Source organism: Homo sapiens, chromosome 14, assembly GCF_000001405.40.
Source record: "Homo sapiens chromosome 14, GRCh38.p14 Primary Assembly".
Taxonomy (NCBI): Eukaryota; Metazoa; Chordata; class Mammalia; order Primates; family Hominidae; genus Homo; species Homo sapiens.
The window spans coordinates 51,329,262-51,351,194 of NC_000014.9; the positions used below are offsets into that span (position 1 = coordinate 51,329,262).

The 21,933-nt window shown below is 41.4% G+C and overlaps 3 long non-coding RNA genes across 3 annotated transcripts in view; 1 reads left to right on the forward strand and 2 right to left on the reverse strand.

Moving 5' to 3' along the window:
• The first annotated feature begins 4,131 nt into the window (after positions 1-4,131).
• Positions 4,132-21,933, forward strand: part of LINC00640 (long intergenic non-protein coding RNA 640) — a 32,165-nt gene continuing 14,363 nt past the window's right edge. Inside the window, exons 1-4 of the long non-coding RNA NR_038358.1 lie at positions 4,132-4,303; positions 19,246-19,299; positions 20,408-20,482; positions 20,934-21,111. This is a non-coding gene — a long non-coding RNA (long intergenic non-protein coding RNA 640). The remainder of the gene's footprint in view (positions 4,304-19,245; positions 19,300-20,407; positions 20,483-20,933; positions 21,112-21,933) is intronic.
• Positions 4,138-10,851, reverse strand: LOC124900595 (uncharacterized). The gene is made up of 3 exons (XR_943854.3): positions 10,770-10,851; positions 6,822-6,928; positions 4,138-4,209 (listed from the first exon to the last, which is right to left on the reverse strand). It is a non-coding gene; the product is annotated as an uncharacterized LOC124900595 (long non-coding RNA).
• On the reverse strand, positions 10,856-19,260 carry LOC105370495 (uncharacterized). Its single transcript, XR_007064165.1, has 3 exons — positions 19,221-19,260; positions 15,622-15,814; positions 10,856-10,974 (listed from the first exon to the last, which is right to left on the reverse strand). It is a non-coding gene; the product is annotated as an uncharacterized LOC105370495 (long non-coding RNA).

Genomic DNA, 21,933 nt, shown 5'->3' on the forward strand with positions numbered 1-21,933 from the left:
ACCTTCCCTATTCTGCCCCAAGTGGATCAAATCCTTTTTCTCTCATCTGACTCCATTATAGTCTTGAGAACTAGCTAGGCACTTTTCAGATTAAGAAGCTATGTCTTGCCCAAATTCCTGTCCTCGTGACAAGTTTTCCCCAAATCTAGGACCAATTCCTGATCAACTGCTTTACATATTCAGATCAATGATGGCTTCAGTTCTGTGCATATTCTAACACTTGACATGGACATCTATCTTAAGGGCTTAAGGACTATTCTTTTTTTTTTTTTTTTTTTTGAGACGGAGTCTTGCTCTGTGGCCCAGGCTGTAGTGCAATGGCATGATCTCGGATCACTGCAACCTCCGCCTCCCAGGTTCAAGCCATTCTCCTGTCTCAGCCTCCTGAGTAGCTGGGATTACAGGCGCCCACCATCACGCCTGGCTAATTTTTGTATTTTTAGTAGAGATGGGGTTTTACCATGTTGGTGAGGCTGGTCTTGAACTCCTGACCTCGTGATCCGCCTGGCTTGGCCTCCCAAAGTGCTGGGATTACAGGTGTGAGCCATCGCGCCTGGCCCTTTAAGGACTATTCTTAATTGCCTGATGCCATAGGCTGTGGGTTGTGACTGTGAGATAGGTACTGTGCTAATCTCTAGACATTCATGATTTTGTTTACATTTTACACCCCTGTGAAGTAGATATTATTATTCTCATTTTATGGCATAATAAAATGAGGTTCAGAAGAGTTACATAAAGTGACAAGAAGCTGGTGGTAGCTGAGCTAGGATTTGAACCCAGATCTATCCTACCTCAAAGCCTAAGTGCCTAACCAGTCTGCTGGAGACTCAATCTGGAGTCCATGCCCCTGTCACCCCTAGATTTTATGTGACCTTTTGTACATGTGTTTTTCTGGGAAGCGGGATCCTGGTCTATATCAGATTTTCAAAGGGCTACGATCCCACAAAGCTAAGAACACTGTACTTAACTATTAGAGTTGGTGGATCAGTTAGGATGCTCTTGGTTGCAAACAAAGCAGAACTGAACTCAAACTGGCTGTGTCAGTGTTCACGCACAGTTTAATCAGGATTCCTGCTCTGTTTCTCTGTAACAGTCCTGGCTTCATCCTCCTAGTGTGTAGGCTTTGTCCTCAGGCTTCCCTTATTGATAGCAAAATGCCTGCAACAGTTCTGGGTCCAATGTCTGCACACACAGGTCCAAAAGAAGAGCCAAAAGAAGGTCCAAAGGAAGAACATTTCTCTCCTCTCTACTGTCCAACAAAACTTGTGGGCTTCATTCTTGGCCATGGGGCCAAGTAAGATCCTGTGCCCCTGTCTTGAGCAGTCATGGGAACTGGGGGACGCCGTGCAAGGGTTGGCTGCAGCATGTATTCCTTGTGTATTCCTGAATCAATCACAGTCTTAATGAGGATAAGATTACATTGAGTGCCTTAGGCCACTGCAGCGGGGAGTAGGGTCATTTTTACCTCACTGACATGGCTGATTCCTAATGGTCAGGGGAGAGGTGAAGTGGATGATGGGCAGGCATCCAGCAATACCCAAAATAGTTAGTATTCTTCCTGTGGCAACTCAAAGATTTTGCAACAATCTCCATATCTTAATGGGACAAGATGAAAGCAAATTCAGCTTCTAGGAGGAAACTTTTTGGCATTTCATTGTTCTCTTTGATTTGAAGAGTTTAATATGCTGCCTTTTCTCATCCCCAATCAGAGTCTATTTAGTGAGGCAAGATGTCCCTACCAATGAAGAGATATTTCCTTTAGATGCAGTTCTAATTAGAACTGCCGCTTCTGAGAAACACTTTCATGGCCTGAGTTACAAACTCCTCTGGAATATTTTCCTCTTGTTTAAGAATGCATAGTCTCAGAATCCAAGGGTGGCTGGGAAGAGGAAGAGCAATTGAAAATGAGAATGTGAAAGAAGACAGAAGTCTTTTTTATGAGAACTTAAGCAGAGTGATGACTGCATGTGTCTGAAAATATAATTATCCTCTTTTGTTTGCTTGATAGAGTTTTGATAGATAGAATCTTGACAGCTCTGTTATGAAATGTTAAAATGTAATTTAGGTTAAAAATCTTAATTATCTTAAATTATAGTCTGAAGTCATGTTCTAGACTTTGATCCTTTTATCATGTGTGACACAGCAGAGGCTGCAGGTGCAGCTAATCCAGCTGCTGTGTTTGCATAAAAGTGAAAAAAGTGGTTGATTGGCTCACTGGACACCCTTGGAGGGGATATATGTGTGCGTAGAAGGAAACCAGTGGGATTTGCCTTCTGCCCGGCAATCCCTAGATGATGCTCTTAACTTTAGAGCAGAGGAGCATTGTGGGTACTTATATTCATTAGAGAATAAAGCCCAAGCTCCTTAGTGCAACATTCAGGCCCTTAAGGACATGGTCGTAAACTACCCTTTCAGGATCAGGGAGACATATGTGCAGTGAAGAGGGTGTGGGCTTCAGAGTCAGACACTAGTCTCCTACCTCCCCCCACTGACTTGCTAAGCAAACTAGGATTTGCTATTTAAGATCTCTAAGCTTCAGTTTCTTCTGTTTACCGTATATGCAAAGAAGACACACTGACCTTCCTTGTGGGGTTGAATCACCGCATCACTCCTCTGTACTCTCCCAGATCTCTGCTTCCTCTCTCTTCCTCTCTCCCTTTCTTACATTGTTATTTTTCTTTCATGTGGCCTCTCTCTCTCTTTCTCTCTCTCCCCCGCCAATCAAGGAGATGGAATGTTCATTAGGGACATGGACTGCATGTCCTCCCCTCCCTTTATCCCCTAGTCTTAGTACAGCAATTGGTCACATGATTAAGTGCTAGATACAACTTTGCTAAAATGAGTGCTCAACAACATCCTTCGTCATCCATTTGACCTTCTTAGCAAATGTCAATTAAAAAATGAAATACCGAAGTGAGTCAGAAGGAGAGAGGGCTGGTTGAGATGAGACAGCTTTGTATAGTGGGTGCTGGAGTTTGACCCAATGGGTTTAAGTTCTGGCTAAATGATGACCTTGGGCAAGTTACCATTCTGTGCTCAGTTTCCTCTGTAAGATGGGGATGACAATAGACCCTCTTTAGAGGGTTGCTATGAGAAAAAAATGAGATAATAAAAAATATACTTAGGAGAATGAGTACTTAATTAACATGACCTATTATTGTTCCCCCAGAAGATTAGTTCTGCCAGGTAAGAACTCGACTGTACACTCATGAAATTTGAGGCAAGTCTTATTCTTTCATGAGATGAAAACTGAGCAAGAGCAGAGAAATCCTTTTATGTCTTTCTCCTCACTTTGTTCAACGTGGGGAACAAGATATGTAGGACTATAGGATGTTTCCTGTAGACAACCTGAGCATTACTGAGGGAGAGAGGGAGTGTGTGAATCTTGTGCCCTGGCCTGACCACACGGCTGCCTATTTCACCATGTCAGGGGGCTGCCAGCCTCTGAGGCATTGTCCCTTTTGACATCTTCAGAAGCCACCCATCATGAAGACTAAATTCTACATCTGTCTTCTCTAGAAAACAGAGTAAAAAATCAACATATATTAGGCACTTATTGCATACCTATTATGACATAGACAATCTCATTTAATTCTCACAATAATCTCCTAAATTAGTTGCTACCATTATCTCAACCTCACAGAGGAGGAGACTGAAGAACAAAGCAGTCAAGTACACTGCCCAGGGTGTACTGGTTAGAAGTGGTAGAGGCAGAATTCGCATCCACCCCTGGCCCTGCTGCCTCCTCTGCTCATGATATCTGTGCCCCAGGGTTCCAGATGGGACCATGCATCCACGACACCCACAAGGCTGTCCATTCCTACATGGTGCTCTTCTGTTCTGACCTCCTAGTGAATGGTGATAAAGGTTAATGACTATTTGGACTTTAATGTGTGTGCCTATTGTTTCAAAGGGAGAATCATGATTTAAAAGAGGCTTAGGAAGACTTCATGAATTTAGTTGTCAGAAATATGACTCTCCCAAGGCTTGGGGTGAGTTGAAAGAGACCTCAACACAAGCCCATTAGCTTGATGCAATGTCCTGCTTAGGGCTTGCAAGAGTCCAGTGTAAAGGCAAATGAAAGACCCAGGTGCAAAAATGGGTGGGCATGTGTTTCCTTTCTTCCATCAGATGGGGCGTCCTTACTCCCAGTCTTTCCAGATGTTCTTCCCACTCCTCAACTGCTCCTGGCTCAGAAACCCTGCACACCTGGAAGAAAGTGAGAACCAGTTTTTCAACAAACACATTGCACAGACTTATTGTGAACCCCGGGTGGAATCAAGCATCGGAGGAAGAGAACGTGGTAAGTTTTATCACTCTACAGAGCACTTGAACTCTGCCTTCTTAGAAGAAATACCAGTGTTCTGGGGTATCTCTTGTGCCCAGGAAGCTCATGGGAGCATTCATTGCCTCAGTTAGGGGAAATCTCCAGAGAATATTTCTCTCATTTGAAGTAGAGATTCTAACTCATGCTTAGAGGATCATTTATACAAGATTCTTTTGGGAGCCTGGTTGTTTAACATCTGCTTTAGGGCAGGAGTATTTTTCTAAAAAAATACTTTATTTCTTTCTTATTAACAGTTGTCTACCCTACAAAGTTCCCGTGTGCAAACAGGATGGGTCTTAATTAGGCTGCAGAAGTTGTTGTGGAAATCCATTTGGCCTCAGGCCTCTGTATATGGCATGCTAAGACACAGAGAAGAATTACTCAGCCTGGGTGCCAGCTGAGATGCTCTACCCAGCTCTGCCCTGCCTTTTTGGAAGCTTTCTCTGTTTCCTTACTTTTGACATGTGGGGTTGTGAATTTGAGAGCTTCCTGAGATGTCAGCCATGAGAAGCCATATCTGTGTAATGCTACCTATGTAGTCTTCCAGACTTGAAAATAATCAGACGTATAAGTATTTGAAAGGCCAAACAAGGAAAACTATGAGCCAAAGAAAGACTGAAACAAGATGTGACAAGTCTCATGTAAATTGTTCATAATTCTGTTCTGATTCATAGTGGAGTTAAAATAACCTGTAAGCCCAACACTGCAGCTGGTTAACAGAGCACTGGTGTGTTTGTTTCCTCCAGTGAGGGCAGGCCAAGTGGAGGCCTGTGGGTGGGAGATCCCTGCAGATAAAAATGACTCTTCAAGGCCAAGTGGCCTGTTGGCTGAGGGTCTCAAAGATTTGGTAATCAGAGTTGGAGTATAACCAAAGAAGAGGCTGAGGAAAATCTGGATAGACCTTTCTGGGGGTGGTGGCCCCTTCTTTGCCTTTGCCCCACCCATTGCAGATTGTCTCTGGGAAAGCAAGTTCCCACAGCCCCGTTTTTTCTTCAGAGTAGGATTGACAAACTATCTACTTTAAGATTACCTAGACCACTTATTAAAATGCACACTTCAGGCCCTATTCCACGAAATCAGGAACTTTGTCCGTGCAGCTGAGAAATCTACTCTTCTAGAAAATACCCCAGATGACTCTCGGTATTAAAAGCTTGAAAACCACTGCCAAAGCCTAATAGGCAAATACTTTCTTGGACTCCAGCATAATCTAAGTTTTTCTTTAATTCAGGGAGAGAAGGATCTGTTATGATCCAGATGGGACATAAATGGGCAAGAATTTGATGCATCCCAGCACAGTTACTCAGTGTTTCAAAAAACGAATTAGCAAGTGTTTAAGCACTTTTATCATAGGAGAGGAGCTCAATAATGTTTGTTTTGCTTGTTAATTTGTTATAATGTCACCAGGGAGAGACACTCAGGCCATGTGGCAGGTTCTTGCCCTCAAAGAACTTCCGCTCTGTAAAATCCTGTGAAGTAACATATAATTAAGTACTAAATTACCTGGTAGGAAAGTTAAATGTTAGGTAAAAACCAAAGCCTGGCATAATCAGGAGAAGCTTCATGGAGGAGATGGGACGTAAGCTGAATTGTGAAGAATTGTTAGTTGTGGGGACCTTGAGAAAGAGGAGAGGAAGTTGCCGGCAAGAGGAAAATGATGTCCAGAGGCCTCAGGTGGGAGTGGGCTTGGGAGCTGGTGCTGCACCGGGAAGAGCAAGGTAGCTAGTGTAGAGGGATGATGGGAACTGGGAAAGGTAGGCTAGATTGCGCAGGACCTTAGAAACCAGGCAGAGAAATTCAGGCAAGAAAAGGGAGCTCCTGAAGCTATTGAAAGCCATGGGGTAGCAAGGATCCCACTGTTCCACAGTCAGTCCCCTCAGGGCCAGAGGAGTGCCCAATGCTGAGTGCCACTCGCTGCTAGTAGGGAAAGTGCTGAGACATCAGACACATCTGGGGAGATTCAGTGTTGGAGATGGGTGGCCAGGGGCAGATGGGGCAACAGAGGGCAGGCAATTCTGGGGCTGCTGGGCCCTGGCTGGCAGGAGAAAGGGGCAGCAAGTCAGCCCGGGGTGGCTGGAGTCAGATACAGAGTTGAGTCAAGGTCATGGGCTGTGGAATCTACAGTGGAGAGGGCCAGAGCTTCATAAGCAGGGCAGGAGGCCAAAGCAGACACTGAAGCTAGCAAGTAAGGAAAGACTTGGCACTGTGGAGTCTGAGGAATTAGTCTGATTATCTGTGGTGAAACGAGGCTCATGGGATATGCTCTTTGGAAATTCCAATAAAAAATCTGTGCTGGGCATTAAAGGACCATCTCCCATTGCATGGACAAGGAGCTGTGGGTTATACTCAGGATTGGTTTCCCCACATGGCAGGCTAGCCTGGCCATTCTACAGTCTGCCCAGAGCTGCAGCGTAAAGAGGCATTAGACGGTACATATTGTTGATTTCCAGGAAGTTACACTGCCCTACTTTAAGGTGATGCTCATTAGTCTGCAAACCTGGATGCTGAAGAAATCCATGTCATAGAAGGACAGAAGTCTTGTATCCTGTGCCAACTCTCATTGTTTGGTGGTGATTGCCTGGAGTGCTGGGGCTAGTCTGGGTTCTGCAGGAAAAAAGGTACTGATTGGTTAATGATATGTGCCATGGATGTGTGTGTGCGTGGAGTGGGAGGAGGTAAGTGAATGAGTGAATGATGGCACCAGTACCACCTATTTACTATGTCTGATTTGATCCCAACCTCCTGATCTCACAGGTGAAGAAATGGAAGCCCATAGATATTAAAAGTGTTATAGTGGTCACAGGACTCAGGGGTAGATCTGGGAGAGAGGCTGAGACTCCTGGTCTAGTGTTTTTTTTTCCTTTGGATCACAAAGCCTTCCAACCCTTCCACTCACCATGGGGCTGTCACACTGACTTCATTTTCCCAGTCCCACCCTTGGCTTCTGCTAGACTTTGCATTAGGAACTTGGCCACAGAACTAATTTGCACAATGGCCAAACTTGTTTCACATGTGATCAGGACTCTTGGGGGGAAGGATTCTAGGAAAAGAAATTGCAGATTGATTCAGAATTCCTGAGAGCTGGAAAATGCCATTAGGTAAGGGGATGGCAAGAGTTGACTGAGAGAGAGAGAGGGAGGAAGATTACTGTGGAAAGGTATCATGAGGGAAGCAGCAGTAGATTGTCACTACTTTTACAGAATTGAAGATGCACAAATTGAAGTTGGAGATTGTGGCTGCCCAAAGTGCAGAGTGGGCACATTGTGGGGAGGAGACAGCCTGATGGTTATTGAACAGTGTTGGGAGAGGTAACGTGCGGTTTTGGAAGGCATGTGGACAGTGGGGTCACCCAAAGCCCAGCTCTGCTGAAACAAAGTAGGCCCACAATAAATGTTAGCCAAAAAAGCCAGCTGTGCTTTCAGCATTTCATCCTCCCAACTCCACCTTGAGAGTGGATATGATTAGCCCAATCTATACCAAAATAGAAAGTGGCTGGGGTCTCAGAATGGCTAATGAACTCATCCAGGTATGCAAGTGGCTGATCATGTTACAGATTCCAAATCCCATTCTCTTTTCCCTGGTAGTGAGAATGTCTCCTGAGCATACCTGCTATTTAAGAGAATGAAAAGAGTTTTCTCTTTCTGCTTATTACCTTGCTCTTGGATGGAAAACAACCAGCTTCTAGTCTATGGGACAGGAATCTAACTTTATTCCAAATTCCTAGAGTAGAAATTAGCTCTGTGTGTTGTTCTTGAGTTGTATGCATGTTTTATTGAGGAATTAACTTCATAACAAAAGAGTATGATTGGAACTTTTATAATTGCACCTGTTACTTCTATTATTGAACTTCTCTCCCTCCCCTGTTTTATTGCTAAAAGAATCAGTGATAAATTATTTGTTTGGAGAAATGTGCAGCCTGCTGAGTCCAGACTGCCCTCATATGCTTTTGGTATCTAGACACATAAACTGTTGTTATTTGAATCTGTTTAAAGGAACTTCCAGCACATGCCCAGGCAGGGCCTCAGGGTGGGCGGAGCTCAGGTGGACTGCTGTCTCCATCAGGCTAATCACAGGGCAACGTGGCTCCCATCTTACTGCTAGCTTCAGAAATTAAACCTACACTTCCGGGGCCTGGTTGAAAACCACTGACTCTTCTGCCAAGCAGGAGCTGTGCCCTCAGGGACCATCTGCAGAGGTAGTGTGGCCAATTATGGGCATTCAAAGCAAGCCAACTGGTTTAAGCCATCTTTCGCTGCCAGTGTTGGCTGCTGGCAACAAAGCCAGAATCTGGAGGATGCTGGAGGAAGAGTCATCCCTGAGGTCTCTCTTCAGTCTCACAACTGCACTGTCTCTAATTTAATGTAGTCTGAGAGTCTCACAACCACACTGTGAGCCATGGAGCATCCGTTGATCTCATTGAATACATGAGGAAACCAGGACCCAGACCTATTATGTGACCTGTCCAAGGTCTCCTTGATCCTTAACAATGAAATGGAAACCCAGCTTTTACATTTCTTTAGAAATACTTATTTAAATGAAAAATATTACATTATTTTAATTATGCTGCTTCTTTCCGAAGAGAGATCATTATAACACAAGTGAAAAAAAAAAAGAAATTTTTAATACTTCTCTGCTTCCTTTTTTGGAGGGGAAGACAGCAAAATTATGACAACCAAAAAAACTTAACTACATGACGTTTCAACAGTTCCTACTGTCTTGCTTAAAAGACTTTGCAAGTGTTACATATTTTTGCTTTTAAAACACTGAATCTAAAAGTCTTTGCTATTATGATTTTTAAAATTTTTATGTACATATTTATTGGGAAGTAAGCTCATAGTAAAGAGCTTAGAAACTGCTATAAAAGTAGAAAACAAATGCCCTCCTAAAGTAAAAATTCAGAAATAACTATTTACTTTCCTATACTTCTTCAGGTTTTTCTTTTCTATGCCTACATATGTTTCTTAAACAAAATTAAGATTTTGCTGCATACAGTTTGGAGTCCTAATTTTTTTTTCCACTGGAGATTATATCATCCTATTTTTGTAATATTAAGATTCAAATGTATTATTAATTTTTTAAATTGCAAACAAAAATTATATATATATAGTATATAACATGATGTTTAGATAGATATATATTATGGAATAATTAAATCAAATTAGCATATCTATCACCTCACATACTTATTATTTTTGTGTGGTGAAAACACTTGAAATGTACTCTCTTAGCAACTTTCAGTTATATAATGCATTATTATTAATTATAGTCACTATGTTGTATCAAATACATTATTTTTAATGGCTGTGTAATATTTTCCCATTCCCTTCTTGAAACATTTTCTTCTTGGCTGCTGGAACATTTCTTTCTTGGTTCTCCTCCTTAGAATCTTCTAAGTCTCTTTTGTAGAACCTCTTCATCTCTTCTCAGTCTCTAATAGCAGGAGGTGCCCCAGAACTCAGTCCTGAGGCCTCAGACCTCTCCTAGTCCTTCTCCATCTGCGTTCACTTGCCAGGAGTGCCCATCAAGCACCATGGCTTCAAATACTGTCCACCCATCCCCAAGAACTCCCAGATTCTATCTCCAGCCTCAACTTTCCCCGGAATACTGCCTATTTGACATCTCCACTGAGATGATTAATGACATACTAAACTTACTGTGTCTTAAGCTAAACTTCTAATGAACCTGCACTCCACGTTCCCCTTCTCAGCAAATGGCAACTTCATCCTTGACCTCAAACCTCCAGGCCTCAAACCTCATCTGAGGTCTTCTCTGACTCTTTTCTCTTACATCACACATCCAGTCCTTCACAAAACCTGCTAGTCTCACCTTTTGAGTAGTTCCAGAATCAGATACCATTCCCATCTCACCTCACCTTCCCTGCAGCCGCACTGGCCCAAGCCATCTTCATCTCTCGGTTGGATGATTTCAGGAGCCCCCTGAGGGGTCTTTGCCTGGATTCCATCCTGGTCCCATGACAGTTTATACTCAACAAAGTAACCAGATAATGTTATGGATCTGCTCAAACCCTCAAAGGCATTGCAATGTCACTGCCAGTAAGTGTCTCTATCTCCCACTGCTGCCTCTATCCCACACCCCTCTGGCCCTTATCCACTCTGCTCCGGCCACACAGGTGTCCAGCTTCCTCTCCCTTTGGAACTTTGCTTTGCTGTGTCCTGACCTGATAGGTTCTGTCCCCAGATGCCTGCCTATCTTGTTCCCTCCTTGCTTAAGGTTCCTGTTCAAATTCCATCTTACCTGTGAAACTCTCTACATAGTCTTTATAAAGAGCAGTCTCTCTACCCAATACTCCTTTCCCTGCAATCTTACCTATTTTAATTTTTCTGCATCTTGCTTTTTCTGTGTGGCATGTATATTCATTTCCTAGGGCTGCCATAACCAAGTACCACAAACTGGGTGGCCTCAAACAACAGAAATTTATTCTCACCTTGTTCTGGAGGTCAGAAGTCCGGAATCAAAATGTCGGCAGTGTTGGTTCCTTCTGAGGGTTCAGAGGGAGAATGTGTTCCACGCCTGTCTCCTAGCTTCTTATAAATGGCTGGCAAACCTTGGCATTCCATAGCTTGTGGATGTATCACTCCAGTCTCTGCCTCCATCTTCACATGGCCATCTTCCCCCTGTGTCTCTCTCTTCTTATAAGAACACCAGCCATATTGAAGTAAAAGCCTATTCTACTCTATTATGACCAATTTAATGTAACTATTTACATCTGCAATGATCTTATTTCCAAATAAGTTTACATTCTGAGATCCTGGGGGTTGGACTTTAACACATCATTTTTGGAGGACCCATTCAACCCGTAACAGCATACAAAGTACTTACTAGTTGATTTCTTTAGTACCTGTCTTTACCCACAAAAACATAAGCTATTTCTGTTCACTGATGTATCCTCCATGACTAAAATACTTGGTACAGAGTAAGCATTCAGTAAATACTTTTTAAATGAATGAATAACTATGGAAATCCCATTTTCTAATCTTTTCTAAACACCTTGCTAATGTAAATACTGGTATAGTGAAAGTTTTTATGCATAATTATTCACCTACATCTTGGATTGTTTCTTTGGGATATGTTCCCAGAGATAGATTCAACTCAATCTACTACCCCTTATCCTAGTGCTGGCCTGTGCTGCATGAATAGGGAAATCCTATTCATTCAGATGTTGCTCAAATGGAATTTGTGGTGACTTGAAGGAAAGGGTGACCTGGTTCATCTTTGCTGTTTGTTAAGCAAATTAAGGGTGGAGTCAAAGTTTTAGTGGGCAGTAACTCAAATCCTAAAGATTATATGTGGTTATATAACCTTTTTTCCTATTTAAGAATTGGTTTGCCTTTTCCCCAAGTTTTTGCGTAACTTCATAGTTATATTTAATGGCCAGTATTAGAAAATCTTATTTCACAATCTGTTATTATTGGGCATTTAGTTTCTTTCTGATTTGGGGGTATTATAAATAATGTTGTAACGTCTATTTTCAAACATATATTTTTCCCCTCACATCAGTATTTTCTCTTTAGTGTAAATTCTTAAGAATCAAAGACTCTCAAAATGCCCAAGCGATTAAATATCTTTATGGTGTTTGATATATTTACTTCTTTCATTTGAATCACATGGGCCGAAGGGTATATCCGTACATTTTTTAAAACACATTTTACTTACACATTCATCTTTTAAGAAAAATGGCCCAACTCTTTTTGCCAGTATTGTTATAATCATTAGTTGGTTCATGTTCATTCTTTCTTAGGGAGTGGAGCTTCCTGTTAAGTGGGTACCACCTGCAGGACCTGGGCCAGGCTCAAAGCTGAAAGCAACTCTGTGTGGACTGCCTATAAGGGAGCCAATCACCCTTGGGAGGTTGGCAGAGACTGTGCCCATTAAATCCCTCCATACCATGCAGTGCTAAATGGCCCAATCAAATCCTCTATTTAGAAGAATATATATCAGATGATTAAAGAGAAAGCTGATGACTCAGCTTTAGGCTGTTGTTTTTTCTGGAGCAATAGTGAGCAAATATCACTGGTTGTTTACGATACTGGCTGCACATTTTAATGGGTAAACCAATGTCCCTGAATACCTACACCGCTGATCAATAATGCCTCCTTTTGCTGGCCTTTCCCATGGTTCTTTGAAATAAACTTTTATGTTGGTTAACAATTTGTGCATATTACTTCCTTGTAACCCTGAAGGAATGGCTAGTAGAGCCAGTACAATAGTGCTTTACAGAAGGGAGTACCCCCTGATAATCCTGCCAGTGGTAATGCCTATAAGCAGCTGGGTCCCAAATTCACCAATTCCGAGAGTTGTCACTAAAACCTTTTTTTTTGGGCAGGGGGATCAGGTTCAACATGGTGTTGATTTTTTTTTTGGTTATTAGTTAGAAAAATTGAGTACTTAAATGGTCCTTACTTATTTTAAGCCAAGTTCACTAATAGAGAAACTGGCCTCTGGAAAATTGGCCTTTAGTGTTGACTGCTAAGTAATGTTCTTCATTTACTGGGGGAATTCATCTAATATTGACTTCAAATTATTCAACAATGAAATCATAGATTTACTGTAGACACAATAGTCCTCAAGCTTACAGAATTTGGGAGCCCCTATTGTCTACTTGAAACTATCATTTTGTTTCTGTCATTCGCATATGTACAAGTCATGGCTAACTTGATTGCTTTGGTGTTTTCCCAGGTAATATTGACTCCAATCCAGAAGACAGTCATCAGTTAAGTAAATAAAACAGGAACAGAACATTGGTACTTACAGTAGGCATGATTTTAAGATAAACCCCAATGAGTCATATCCTTGTATAATCTCCTCCCCTTGAGTGTTGTTGGAGCTAATGAGTTGCATTTAGTGAACAGAATATGGCAAAGATGGTGGGATCGTCACTTCCGTGGTTATGTTATTGCTATGTAAACTGCCATTATAGCAGACTGGAAGGATTGATTCTCCTTTTGGCCATGACGTAGTGAGGTACCATGTGACAAGAAACTGCAGGCAGCCTCCTGAGTCTGAGAGTGGCCCCTGGCTGACAGCTAGCAAGAAAACAGGGACCTCAGTCCTCCAGCTTCAAGGAAGTGAACTCTCTGAAATCACATACACATGGAAGAGGACCCCAAACTCCAGACTCCAGAAAAGAATGTAGCTGTGTCGACACCTAGATCACAGCCTTGTGAGACCCTGAGCAGGGGACCCAGTTAGGCTGTGCCTCAACTCCTGACCTATAGAAACTGAGATGATAAATGGGTGTTGTTTTAAGCCACTAAACTGGGATGTGTTATGAAATGACAGAAATTTAATACAGTCTCCGTATTCAGGGTGGAGTGTAAGGGAGTGTGTTTAAATCTCAGCTTTGCTACTTATTAGATGTACAACCATGGCAAATTACTTAACCCCTCTGAATCTGTTACCTTTATGGTAAAATAGGAACAAAAATTATACCTATTTCAGGATGATGAAGAGGGAATGAAATGGTACACGCTGAGTCACTTAACGTGGTACCTGACACATAGTAACTTCTCAATGCATGTTTTTCATTGTCATCAGAGGTTGGACATTTTAAATTCCATAATCCTAAATGTTTTTTTCATTATTTTTTTCCATGTTGCTCATGTTTTGAAGATTTTCATTTATCATATTACCTGATTTTATTTATTAAGTAATCATTCATTTTCATTTCCTCATCTATTTTTTTTCTTTTCTTTTTTTGAGATGGAATCTCGCTTTGTCACCCAGGCTGGAGTGCAGTGGCGCAATCTTGGCTCCTGAGTATCTGAGAATACAGGCGCGCGCCACCACGCCCAGATAAATTTTTTGTATTTTTTTAGTAGAGACAGGGTTTCACCATGTTACCCCGGCTGGTCTCGAACTCTTGACCTCAAGTGATCCACCTGCCTTGGCCTCCCAAAGTGCTGGGATTACAGGCGTGAGCCACCACACCCAGCCCTCCCCATCTATTTCTAATTCATGACCTACATACAGCTTCTGATTAGCTTGGGGTATTCTTAATAGATTAATTATAATTAATGTAGTTTGGCTAAAAGCAGACATTTAGTGTTATAGTTAGTAGAATTTCCCTTAACTTTTGAAATATAAGAAATGAATTGTTGAACTTTGCCAGATTAACATTTGGAACCACAGTATTAGCTGATTGATGGTAAATAGGCATTGGGTGACTTTCTGCAGCTAAGCAAGGCAATCATGATTTGCCTTTATATGCCAGCATATTTGCTCAGGTATTGCTGGATGGGTGAGAATGGCTGAAAAGAAAATTGTTAGTTCAAGTGAAGGAAGGAAGTGCCCAGAAAGAAAAAGAAGATAAAATATTAACATTATTTAGGTACTTAATGGCTGGGAATTAACTTATGAATCACAAAAGTTTTAGGAATTGTTGTGCAATGTCAGTATTTAAATTATGGTAAAATGAATAAGTATGCTTCATTTATGTTGTGTTTATAGTAAAATGCTCTTATTTTGTAATTTATTTTGTGTATAATAAAATAAGAGCATTTTAATCTATAATTATAATATTTGAAGTATGATTGCTACTCTTTCTTTAGTGCTTTATTTCCTCTTTGAATATTATCTAAAATACTGCATTATATTATGTTATTAATATCAAGGCCTAATGTATTCAGTTTCTAGATGAACGATTTTCAAGTTGATTACAGACTTGATAGGGAATTATATTTATTTAATAGAAGTCTCTTTTGTACAATCTTAGCTAAAATTCTGAGAAACAAGAAAAAGCTATGTTATAAGGAACTAGTTCATCTGCTGTAAAAGTACACTGACATTTTAAAGTGCAAAAAACCAAAATACAGCTTAAGAAGTATGTCTGAAAAGTTAATGTTAAATAAATTAGATTTTCCAGGTTATACTCTGTATACGCCCTGAAAAAGTTCTGCAATACAACGCATAGAAAACATACACATACTCACACAACAGACACATAATACATAAAACACCCACAGTGCACACACGCAAAACACACAAATGGCAACCCCTATAAGCATACTAAGGTCTCTGAGAAGTCCTACAATAGAGACCTACTAAGTTTTGTTTAATCATGTGCTTCTCCAGTTGATCTCAGAATCCTTCCCCCACCGTCACAGGTAACCCTGATTCCTGATGACTTTGTGTTCCTTGGAACACACTTTATGAATGACGGCTCTATGAGATTTTTCCCAAGGAAAACTATTACATAGGAGAAGTGTAAGATGCCCTCAACATTTATGGGTAAAAAACAGATACCACCATTAAAATAACCCATATATCAGAAACAATACCTCCAAATTATGTGAAGAACATTGAGAATTCTTGCAGGGACTGAAAATCTTTATTTCCTTCTGGAATCCAGGTTTTTTCTTTTGGTGTTATGTACAGATAAAGCCAGGTCTATCTGCAGGTGATCACTGTGCTGCTAGTCTCTGTTCACATTGGTAGAAAGATGTCGTTGGGCAGTAAAAGATGGTCATCTTCCTGCAAAATGAGTCAGTAACCCAAGGGTGAAAGCTGTGTCTCCCCCACAAGTTCTATCAGCATCTTTTGACTTGACAGCACAATTGGGAGCCTTATCCTTTCTGCATTCCTGACACAGAGGACCAAAGGCCACTCCTCAACAACTTGTACCGCTCTCTCTGTTTATTCCATAAAGAATGAAAAAGGAATATATTTCCACACTTTAAGACTATATGGTGGGGCATTTGGAGGGTGCTTACTCTGATAATTAAAAGGATTTTATCTTCATAAGGAAATCGACATTTGCTGTCAGGATGCCAGACCACAATTCTATAGAAGCTTTTCTCTTTTTTTTTGATTGATATGGTTTGGCTGTGTGTCTCCACCCAAATCTCATGTCGAATTGTAATCCCCATATGTGAGGGGATGCTCCTGGTGGGAGGTAATTGGGTCATGAGGGTGGATTTCCTCCTTCCTGTTTTTGTGATAGTGAGTGAGTTCTCACGAGATCTGATGGTTTAAAAGTGTATGACACTTTCCCCTTCACTCTCTGTCTCTCCTGCTCTGCCATGGTAAGATGTGCTTGCTTTCTCTTCATCTTCCACCATGATTGTAAGTTTCCTGAGGCCTTCCAACCATGCTTCCTGTCCAGCATGTGGAACTGGAACTGTGAGTCAATTAAACCTCTTTTATTCATAAATTACCCAGTCTCAGGTAGTTCTTTATAGCAATGTGAGAACGGACTAATACAGAAAATTTGTATCAGGAAAGTGGGGCATTGCTTTAGAGATACCTGAAAATGTGGAAGCAACTTTGGAATTGGGTAACAGGCAGAGGTTGGAACAGTTTGGAGGGTTTAGAAGAAGACAGGAAGATGTGGGAAAGCTTGGAACATCCTAGAGACTTGTTGAATGGTTTTGACCAAAATGCTAATAGTAATATAGACAATAACATCCAGGCTGAGATGGTCTCAGATGGAGATGAGGAACTTATTGGGAACTGGAGTAAAGGTCACTGTTATGCTTTAGCAAAGAGACTGGCAGCATTTTGCCCCTGCCCTAGAGATTTGTGGAACTTTAAACTTGAGAGAGATGATTTAGGGTATCTGGCAGGAGAAATTTCTAAGCAGCAAAGCATTCAAGATGCGACCTGGCTGTTTCTGCAAGTGCATGCTTATATGTGTGAACAAAGAGATTATCTGAAACTGGAACTTATATTTAAAAGGGAAACAGAGCATAGCAGTTTGGAAAATTTGCACCCTGGCTATGTGGTAGAAAAGAAAGACCCAGGCTGGGCGCAGTGGCTCACACCTATAATCTCAGTACTTTGGGAGGCTGAGGTGGGCGGATCACCTGAGGATGGGCGTTTGAGACCAGCCTGATCAACTTGGAGAAACCCCGTCTCTACTAAAAATACAAAATTAGCCAGGTGTGGTGGCGCATGCCTATAAGCCCAGCTACTCGGGAGGCTGAGGCAGGAGAATTGCTTGAATCCAGAAGGCAGAGGTTGCAATGAGCTGAGATCGTGCCATTCCACTCCAGCCTGGGCAACAAGAGTGAAACTCCATCTCAAAAAAAAAAAAAAGAAGAAAGAAAAGAAAAAAAAGACCCATTTTCTGGGAAGACATTCAACCTTGTTGCAAAAATTTGCATAAGTAAAGAGGAGCTGAATGTTAATAGCCAAGGCAATGGGGAAAATGTCTCCAGGGGATTTCAGAGACCTTCAAGGCAGCCCTTCCCACTGCAGGCCTGGTAGCCTAGGAGGAAAAAATGGACTGATGGACCAGGCCTAGGACCCTGCTGCTCTATGCAACCTTGGGACATGGCACCCTGTTTCCCAGCTGCTCCAGCTCCAGCTGTGGCTAAAAGGGGCCAAGGTGCAACCCAGGCTGTTGCTTCAGAGAATGCAAGCCCCAGGTTTTGGAAGCTTCCACATGGTGTTGGGCCTGCAGGTGTGCAGAAGGCAAGAGTTTGGGAGCCTCTACCTAAATTTCAGAGGATGTGTGGAAACACTTGGATGTCCAGGCAGAAGTCTGCTGCAGGGAAAGAGCCTTCATGAAGAACCTCTACTAGGGCAGTGTGGAGGAGAAATGTGGGGTTGGAGCCCCAACAGAATCCCCACTGGGGCACTCCCTAGTGGTGCTGTGAGAAGGCAACCATCCTCCAGACCCCAAAATGGTAGATCCACTGACAGCTTGCACTATGCACCTGGAAAAGCTGCAGGCACTCAATGCCAAGCCGTAAAAGCAGCTGCAGGGGTTATACCCCAGAGCCACAGAAGTGGAGCTTCCCAAGGCCTTGGGAGCTCACTCCTTGCATCAGCATGCCCTGGATATGAGACATGGAGTCAAATGAGATTATTTTGGAATGTTAAGATTTAGTAACCACCCTGCTGGGTTTCATACTTGCGTGGGGCTTATAGCCCCTTTGTTTTGGCCAATTTCTCCCTTTTGGAATGGAACATTTACGCAAGCCTGTACCCCCATTGTATCTTGGAAGTAACTAACTTGTTTTTGATTTTACAGACTTACAGGTGGAAGGGACTTGCCTGGTCTCAGATGAGACTTTGGACTTGGACTTTTGAGTTAATGCTGAAATGAAATAAGACTTTGAGGGACTGTTGGGAAGGCATTATTGGTTTTGAAATGTGGGAAGGATATGAGATTTGGGAGGGGCCAGGGGTGAAATGATATGGTTTGGCTCTGTGTCCCCACTCAAATCTCATAGCAAATTGTAATCCCCACATGTCGGGGAAAGGGCCTAGTGGGAGGTGATTGGATCATGGGAGCAGATTTCCCCCTTGCTGTTTGACATTCCTGCTTTCCCTTCACCTTCTATCATGATTTTTGTAAGTTTCCTGAGGCCTCCACCCATGCTTCCTGTACAGCTTGTGGAACTGTGAGTCAATTAAACCTCTTTCCTTCATAAATTACCCAGTCTCAGGTAGTTCTTTATAGCAATGTGAGAATAGACCAATACAATGATTATCTGTTTATTATCTAAAAGATGCAGTCCTAATTAAACTTTCTGTTTATATTAACCCTAATATTTTGATCTTCATTTTTTTAACTTTGTGAACAGTAGAGTTTTATCCAAATGTGAAGTTTTATACCTTCACAGCTATCACTCCAATAAAGATATTTATTCTATTAAACAAAACATTTTAAAATGTTTTAACATATACAAATATATTTACAACATAATCTGCCAACTAAAGACTCCAACAAAGTTTACAGTACCTAAAACAGAATACAGATGCCTACAATAGTTTGCAGACTGATTTAGTTCACAGTTACATCTATTGCTTTAAGAAATGCCATTAATACAAATGCATGATTTACAGTATTCCCATTACAGCAAGAAAAAATAGATTTATAAAGTAAGGTGTCCTTTAGGTATTTATTATGCCAAGTATATCAAGTATTTACTTTTTTTTCCTTTTTTTTGAGACAGGGTCTTGCTGTGTCCCTAGGCTGGAGTGCAGTGGTGCAGTCTCAATTATGCCAGGTACTTAAATGATTATTCTCATTATGACATAAGAATAATGGTCTTTTAGTGATGAAAGATAAATTGTATTGGCTCAAAGACCACTGAAGAGCTTCCAGGAGGTTCCAAAGTAAAATCTGGCTATTCTTTATGTGAAATAAATAGAATAGCAGCAATCTCAGTGTATTCCTTAAACATAAACCAATGTGATTCCATTTATGTTCATTGGGCCTTAAGTAAATGACTTGTTACAAATAAAAATCGAATTTTAGAAACTAGTTAACACCACTGGTCTAAGTTTGCTTTTTTGGGTTTTTTTTTTTTTTTTTTTTTTGAGACAGAGTCTCGCTCTGTCACCCATGCTGGAGTGCAGTGGCCCGATCTCAGCTCACTGCAAGCTCTGCCTCCCGGGTTCATGCCATTCTCCTGCCTCATCCTCTCAAGCAGCTGGGACTACAGGTGCCCACCACTATGCCCGGCTAATTTTTTGTATTTTTAGTAGAGACAGGGTTTCACTGTGTTAGCCAGGATGGTCTCAATTTCCTGACCTCATGATAGCCAGGACGGTCTCGATCTCCTGACCTCATGATCCGCCCACCTTGGCCTCCCAAAGTGCTGGGATTACAGGCATGAGCCACTGTGCCAGGCCGTAAGTTTGGTATTTAATTGCTTGCATATGTCTGAGACATTTTACCATGAAGTACATATTAAAAATTAACAATTATTTCTAACTTATACATAAGCCAAAATGCTCACTCTTTTTTTTGTAGGAAAGTTAGAGATTGTATATTATTGAAAAAGTTCATTTTCCAGGGCTTCAAAATGACCAGGGGAGTCAAGAGACACTATCATGGAATCAAACAATGAATTTTTGTATTAACCTATGTGTACATTGACTATTTCACATTGACTAAGCTGCCTTAGCTAGAAAAACAAGGTTCTGTCATTTCTTTCCTGATCTTTTCCTTTCCTTCCTTATTCACCAAGGAGGATGGCCCAGCAGCATCTCAGCCTACGCTTTTTAACTCACCTTCTCTATACCCTCTACCCAATGTCCACATCAACCAAGGATCCCTGAAGGATTCTTTAACAGCACCAATGTACTGACCATTACTCTACATTTTTCTAGATGGCTCTGAGGTCCAAGTAAAAGATAATATTTGCAACCAACTCACTGGAGTTGACCATCAAAACTCTTTTCCAGGTAAGGTCTCCTTCATTATCTGAGGCAGAAATTTTTTATTGCTTTCTTTCTATTCCAATTGAATTAAGATATGACAATCTTCCCATGTACATCAAAGATGACTTACAGAATTTCTTGGTGGGCTATAAGGTGGGAGTCCATCACCAACTAAGATTTCAAGATGGCATCCATAGATGAGCACATCGGTTACAAACTGTATGGAAGAGAGCTTTTTCCTACCATAAACATTTTTTTCTTCTCAAAAAAGAGTTTGCAATTTGCAACCAAATGGACTGGAAAATCTGGCACAAAAATCCTGGGCCTTTTCCACAAGTGTCCTGTCTGCTTTATTTGGGGCCATTACTTTGACCACTATTTCCCAATGGGTTTTGTAATGTCATAAGTTAACAAAAGACCTGTGCAAACAGGATACAGCATGGTCTGATGCTCATAGACTTTTCTGTAATTACAGGCACACTCAGGCATCGCAGAAAATAATATGTATTGTGGAATCCCTCACTTGATGAATAATCTAGATGATCAGAAATGTGGCACTATTTTGGCTTTCAGGTGGAAAAGCACCCTGAATCCAGCTTCCTGCTATGAATGAATACTGAGCTTGGGTTGGTGGAAATTGATTTTCGAGATAAGTAAGTATGGCCATATTCTAAGGTTCCTGGAATCAACTGTGTTCCCTTTAGGTGGTGTGGGATTTTGTGCATGGGACTGGGTATGCCTATGTGTGAATCCAAGTGGTGTGATTCTGAGTGTTTGTGCATGTGTTCTTGGCAAAATGCTCACTCTTACCATGGAAGCAAAACTCACTTCTGAAAATAGCCTACTCATATAATATGTAAACACATGGAGCTTTGAGATAGACTAAGAACATGCTCCTATGTTCTATGGATCAAAATGCAAAGGTATCTGTACATATGTAAATGAAGACATTTTTGTTAATTTGGGATATATTGATATTACATAACTATGTGCATACCTATATAGACCATAAAACAAATTTTGACAATGTTTCTAATGACAACATACTTTCTAAGCCCCAAATACTGGACATAAATATGAAAATGAGTTTTTCTGTTTTTAAATACAGTTTTTAAGTGGAAAAGCAAAACCAACACTCTCCGTTATAACATGGACTGGCCTTTAAAAGGTTCAGAGTCAAAAACCTCTTGTTGTTCCCCAATGTGATAAAACACATAAGCTTTCTCTCTCTGGTGAGGAAGTCTGATCATCTCTAGTGTTTTGTCTTAAAAATTGCTTTCCAGGATAGGTCGGGCGCAGTGGCTCACACCTGTAATCCAGCACTTCGGGAGGCTGAGGCAGGCAGATCACCTGAGGTCAGGAGTTCGAGACCAGCCTGGCCAACATGGTGAAACCCCGTCTCTACTAAAAATACCAAAATTAGCCGGGCATGGTGGTACCACGTTTCTCAGTCCCTAGAGCCTTTCTTTCTTTCT